The sequence below is a fragment of the Homo sapiens genome, chromosome 17, assembly GCF_000001405.40.
Source record: "Homo sapiens chromosome 17, GRCh38.p14 Primary Assembly".
In the NCBI taxonomy this organism is placed as follows: Eukaryota; Metazoa; Chordata; class Mammalia; order Primates; family Hominidae; genus Homo; species Homo sapiens.
Genome location: NC_000017.11, coordinates 26976410 through 26983370, shown reverse-complemented (window position 1 = coordinate 26983370; position 6961 = coordinate 26976410). Strand labels below are relative to the sequence as shown.

Below are 6961 nucleotides of genomic sequence, written 5' to 3'. Positions count from 1 at the left end.
GGGGCCTGGCTCCTTCTGCTCAGCCGCTTCCTTTGGGACATGTTTGTGGTGCCAGGTGTCAATAACCTCCCTTCTCCCTGCTTGGGATGCTTCCATCTCGGGGTGGGCCACGGCTTGCTTGTCCCCTCACCAGGTGAGGCACATGTGGGTCACTTCCTTGTTTGGGTGATTACTAGTAACACTGCTATAAACATCCACTTACAAGTTTTTGTGTGAACATGAGTCTCATTTCTCTTGAGTAGTACCTAGTTGACAAAAGGTGGGATCGTCTGACAAGTGTATGTTTAACTTTATCAAGAATAAAGCATTTGTTGAGCGCCAACTGGGGCCAGGGCCTCATGCCTATCAGTCAGTGCCATGGGAATGGCCTGGAGGGCTTGAGTGGAGTGGAGTGAGTGGAGACAGATGCCACCATGTTTTGGCCCCAGTTGGCTTAGATCCTGCTAACCAACCTCCAAAGTGGCTGTGCCTTTGTTTGCATTTTAAAGCATCCAGAGAGGCCATCACTCTCCGCAAGCTTCTCCTCCCTAGTCCTCCCCATCTGCCTGGCTGCTCCCACCCAAGTCCACAGACCAGCCTGGATGCCACGATGTTTCCTCGGGCTCCTTCTTGGGCTGCACAGTCAGCCTCCTACCCTAGTCCCAGGGCCCTCCTCCCTGGCCTGCTTCCTACATGGCAACAGGAATGATCCTGAAAAATCAAACATGTCAGGGGTCTTCCTTGCTCCCATCACACTTGGAGTCAGCAGATCCCAGCTGCAGCCCCAGCCTATTCCTCCTCCCTGGCTCTAACTGGCCCAGCCCCACTGGCCTTCCCTTTCTCCTCCAGCCACAGCACCAGTCCAGTGTTGCCCCACCTGGGATGCCTGTACCCCTAGATCACGGCAGCAAGAGAGGAAAGCTGGTGCTCAGGCAGTGCCCATGTGCCACGTGCTGCAATAGGCGGTTGCCTACTTCTTACCTGTGGCTTTATGATCATCAGCCCCATTTTACAGAGGAGAGAACAGGCACAGAGAAGTTAGTGCAGCCAAGGTCTTCAGAGTCCTCAGATGTCCTCTCTGGGTGGCTCCAGGACTGGCATAGGGTCATGCCCCTGAGCGACCGCGGAGCCTCTCCCCGGCTGGGGGTGGATGCTGCATGTCGGCCAAGGTTGGCTCAGATCTCTGACTCCCGTCTGTAGGGCCGCTGCTCCAGGGCCCCGTCGCCAGCCTGGAGTCTAAGTCATGCCTGGCCTGGGGGCTGAGGCCGTCCCGGCTTCGGCCGTCGTGGTCTCCGTCCGCCTAATCCTCCTCGTCACGGCTCAGGAAGGCCAGCTCGTTCTCGTAGCAGAAGGAGTTGCGCTGGGCAGCAGGCACTTGTTCTCCACCAGATCCTTCGCGCTGCAGCGGGGCGTAGAGGGCACCTCATAGGTCTTGTGGAAGTGCGAGTAGTCGATCTTGTACAGGTTCTTCTCCTCAAAGAGCACGGGCTCAAAGCGGTGACCCCACAGGATCTCATTGGCCAGATAGGAGCTGCGGGCCTGGGTGGTCATGGCTGTGGCCTCCACCATGCCTTCCAGGATGACCACGATCTCAAAGTCGTCCGTCTCCAGGTCCTGCCTGCTGATGCCGAAGAGCGGGCTGGCCTCGTCAATCTCGTGCAGGATGGTGATGGGCGACACCAGAAAGATGCGGTCCAGGCTGTTAACCTCCTATGCACCCATCCCCTACTCAATCCTAAGCAACCACAAATCTGTTTTCTGTCTCTATAGATTTTCCTATTCTATTTTCAATCTAAATAGAATCATACAATAGGTGGCCTTTTGTGCCTGGCTTCTTTCAGTTGGCATAATGCTATCAAGTTTCATGTACGTATTGGTACTTTATTTCTTTTTATAACTGTATAATATTCAATTTCATGGATATAACATTTTGTTTACCCAATAATATTTTTATTGACATTTGAGTTGTGTTCAGCCTTTGGCTATTTTAAATACTGCTGCTAAAAGTACTTGTGTACAATTTGTGTTTAACACCTCTTTCCAATAATCTGGGTGTATACCTAGGAATAAATTTCTGGGTCATATGACAATTCTATATGTAATATATTTAGAAGCCATCAAACTATTTTCCAAAGTGGCCAGTTGTAGCCATAGAGTATCTAACTGTGGTTTTGATTTGTAGTTGCCTGATGAGTGATGCTATTGAGTATCTTTTTATGAGATTATTGACCGTTCGTGTATCTTCTTGGGAAATACATCTATTCCCATCATTTATCAGTTTTGAGTTGGGATATTTGTTACTGAGTTAAAACAGGTTTTCTATATTCAAGATACGTATATATACAGACATATAGATATGTGTTTTTCAAATATTTTCTCACAATTTTTGAGCTGCCTTTTGACTTGCTTGGTTGTCCTTTGAAACACCAATGTCTTTAATTTTTAAGAAATTTTAAATATCTAATTTTTATTTTGTTGCTCATGTTTTTGGTGTTACAGCTATTTCTTTGCTAGATCCAAAATCCTGAAGATTTTCCCATATGCTTTATTCTAGCTCTTGCATGTATGTCTTTAATTCCTTTGAGTTACTATTTTTGTATGCTTTGGGGTAAGTGTTCGAATTTATTATTTTGCAAGTGGTGATCCACGTGTACGTTGTTGACCCAGTTTGTTCAAAGACTGTCTCTTCCTCATTGGATTGCACATGGCACCACTGTAAGAATCCATTGACTCTAGATACATAGTTTTATATGTGGACTCTCAATTCTCTTCCATCAATCTATATATTTTTCCTTCATCAGTATTGTGTTGTCTTGATTACTGATGCTTTGCAGTAAGGTTTGGAGCACGTGGGTGTGAATTATCCTAATATGTTTTCTTTTTTTAAGATTATTTTGGCTATTTTGAGTCCCTTACAATTCCATGTGTATTTTAGGATCAGCTTGTCAGTTTCTAGACAGAAGTCTGTTGGGATACTTGCAGGGATTTCATCACATCTGTAGTTCAAATTGTGAAGTACTACAATATTAAATCTTCCAATTCATGGCTATAAGATGTTTGCTAATTATTTAGATCTTCTTTAAACAATAATTTTTAATTTTCAGAGTAAAATCTTGTATCACATTTTCCAAATTAATTATTATTTCTTTTTTTGATGCTATTGTAAATTGAAGTGTTTTCTTAATTTCATTTTGGGGTTTTCATTGTAGATGTGTGCAACTGATTTTTGTATATTTATCTTGTATGCTGTAATATTGCTGAAATAATTTACCAGTTCTACCATTCAGTGGATTCCTTAAAATTTTCCATATACAAGAATGTTATTTGCAAATAAACTTTTATTTCTTCCTGTTCAATATGGGTGACTCTTATTTCTTTACTTGCCGATTTGCCCTGCATAAAATCTTTAGTACAGTGTTGACTAGAAGAGGTCAAAGTATATATCCTATTCTTATCTCTGGCCATAGCGGGAAAGTATCCTTTCTTTTACCATTAAGTTGCATGTTTGCTGTTGGCTTTTCACAGGTGCCATGTATCTGGTGTAGAAAGTTCTCTATTCCTGGTTCATTGAGTTTTTATTTTTATTTGTAATCATTAAAGCATTTGGATTTTGTTAAATGTCTTTTCTGAATCTATCGAGATGATCATGCAATTCTCGTTTCTTATTCTATGGATAAGATGTATTACCTTAATGGATTTTGGGCTGTTAAACCAACCTGGGAGTACTAGTATAAATTTCACTTTGTCATAGTGTATAATTCTTTTATATGTTGCTAGATTTGATTTGTTAGCATTTTTAAGGAATTCTGCATTTATACTTCTTGTAGTTTTATTTTTCTATGCTGTTTGGACTAATTTTTGTATCAAGGTAACACTGGCCCCACAGAATAAATTGGGAAGTGAATATTTCTCTTTTTTAAAAAAGCTAGTCAAGAATTAATATCAATTATTCAATACTAACAAATATTATTAATATTATAAATTATTAATTTCTCTAATTTTTATTTTCTTCCTTCTGCTTGCTTTAGGTTTAGTTTGCTATTCTTTCCAGTGCCTTAATGTGGAAGGTCATCTTATCTCATCCTTTCATTTGTCTTTTCATTTTCTAAATAGTGTCTTTTTAGCATCAGGTGAGCTCCCCAGGTTGGTAGTACTCCATGTTTTTTGCTGTACAACAATGGCAGGTAATATGTCCTGAAGACAATGGAAACTTAACATTCAAAATCCTCCTAGATTCCACCTTATATGATATGTCTCTTCCTTTGATTAGTCCTAATTTCCACCCTTTCTCTATTATAAACCATGAGTACAATGGCATTCAATGAGTTCTGTGAGTCTTTCTAGTAAATTCTTGAAACTGAGGGTGTTCTGGGGAAACCCCTGAACTGCCAGTTGGTGTCAAAAGTGAAAATCATCTTATATGGCCTCTTCCTTTGATCTTTGCAGCTGGACCCAAACTCTGCACAATTTGGGCCAGAAGTCTCATGTTGACTTTGCAGCCTAAAGTATCTTGTAGTTTGTCTAACCCTCAATAAATTTGCTTTCATCAAATATTGTATTTGTTACCCAAAAATTACCATCATGTTTCTTTTCTCCAAATAACTAACATTGGGAGAAATAGCCAGCTGAATCTGTAACTCAACAGAAACAAGTGATCCACATACCATATAAGTGGCCATTTCATTTTGCCTCCTTCCACCAAATCTTAGCAACCTCAACCATTGCCATGAGCCACTGTAGGCCTACCGGCTACAAACAAGTATCTTTTAAAAACACTTCATACTCCCATTTGATAAATTTCCCAGCAAAGAGATGCCTACTTTAACTCTGCAAGTGGCTCATATTCGCGACGTCTGGAGATATTATTCATGTAGTGTGAGAAAATCATCCCAGCGATGCCAGCACATTCTCCTTCCCATGATCTGCTTAGTTTGCAAACATATTCAGGCCATGGGTGAGAGATTTGTATTTCACAGTACAACAATTTTATGGAGGGCACTGAAACTTAGATTGAGCATTTTAGTACAGTCACACATCACTGAATGACAGGGATACGTTCTAACAGATGCATCCATAGGCAATTTCATCATTTTGCAAACATCACAGAGAATATTACAAACACCTAGATTGTACAGCCTACCACGTCTAGGTTATATGGTATAGCCTCTCTCCTAGGCTACAAACCTGTGTACTACATTACTGTACTGAATACTGCAGGCAATAAGAACACAGTGATAAGAGTTTATGTATCTAAACATACTTAAACATAGAAAAGTATGTAAAAATATGTATTATAATCTCCTGGGACCACTTTTGTATATGTAATCCATCTTTGACTGAAATGTTATTATGCATGACATGACTCTATGACAAAAATAAAATAATACATTGTAAAAAATGTACACATGTATCAAACATATTAATATTATAAAAATAAAAATATTTATTCAGTGTAAGAATTTGTAATGATCAAAAAATGTTCACAGCTTATATTTTAGTACAATTTCAAATGCCTAGTGCAATTACTATTTGTTTGTGTATTTTAAACATGTATATAATAAATATTTTTCAGGTTCAACAATATATATCAATCCTACTGGTTCTTATAAATATTAGTTAAAATCAATTAGTAAATTCATGTATATATATGCACACATGTGTATCAGTGAGTGTGTGTGCATGTATGGGTGTAAATGTAATTGTATGTGTGTGTAAATGTAATTGGATGCATCCTAATATTTACCCTTACCTACAAGATTTCCAAGATTCATTTATTCTCTTTAGTTGATGTGCATTTAAACATTTACCAAATAAAACTCTAATCGTGGAAAATATCAAGATGTCATTAAATTCATCTTGTGCACATAATTGTTTCTTTAAATTTATTTTTCTTGCAAAACTTGCAGTAATGCTCATGCACAAAATAGTACTCTAAATAAAAAATGAAAACATTTTCTCAGTCATTAATTCTTAATTATTTCTCCCCAATAACTAATGTGAATTAATACTTAATTCTTAATTATAGAATAATGTTGCCCTTCAGAGTTCTGAATCTTTTGCACGTTGTATACATTTCACTAACTAGAACAACTTCTGAAATATTGGCATTAATTAATGTCACTCAGCAATTATTGATTTCAAAGAAATTAAATACCATTCATATTCTGAATCACAAGGGTGCTTTGGCATCTAATTTAATCAAGCTCTTTGTATCATCATCTACACTTTAATTACTTAACAAACATTTCTCTGTGTGAGAAAGGTTGAGCAGGTTATTGTGCTTTTTTAAGATGCAACTTTTGCTTAATCTAGAGATAGGCAATGCTCCCTATAAGGGACAAAGAGAAAAATGAATGAGCAATAGAGATGTGACAGGCATGGAAAAAGACAATACATTTATAAAACAAATAGGGCCACAGATGACGATAATGGGGATCAAATCTTGAGATACTGACTCAGTTTATAACCGCACTGTATAATAGAGCAAATCATTTGTTAATTTTTTTACAAGTGGAATTTAATTTAATTAAGATGAATACAGTGTTTTAAACAAGGCAGGTCATCTTAAAATAAAATAGTGGAATAAAGTGATAAAACCAACGTAAAAATCTTAAACATTTTATAAAGAATTTTTGTCATGTAATTTAATATTTTTCTCTATTTAAAATCACCCAAATCAAAATAATTTTATCTTAATTAACATATAATCATTAGAAGTTTAACTAATTTTTACTTTATAATACTAGGTTTAAAAATTCTTAACTATATTTTTAATCATATATGCTTATATATAAAATAGACATAGGATATATATTTACATGTTCACAATATTATATTGTAATTGTTCCTATGGATGTGGTTTTTCAATAGAATTAATAAGTACTTTTAAAAAGTTTCAATTTCAATGATATATATGTTTGATTTTTCTTTGACAAAGCATACATATATTGATAGGTAATAATATGAAAATCTTCTAAAGACA

At 37.5% G+C, this 6961-nt stretch overlaps 1 pseudogene; it reads right to left on the bottom strand.

The window, feature by feature from the left end:
- On the bottom strand, positions 1089-1679 carry LOC100422478 (potassium inwardly rectifying channel subfamily J member 12 pseudogene; annotated as a pseudogene).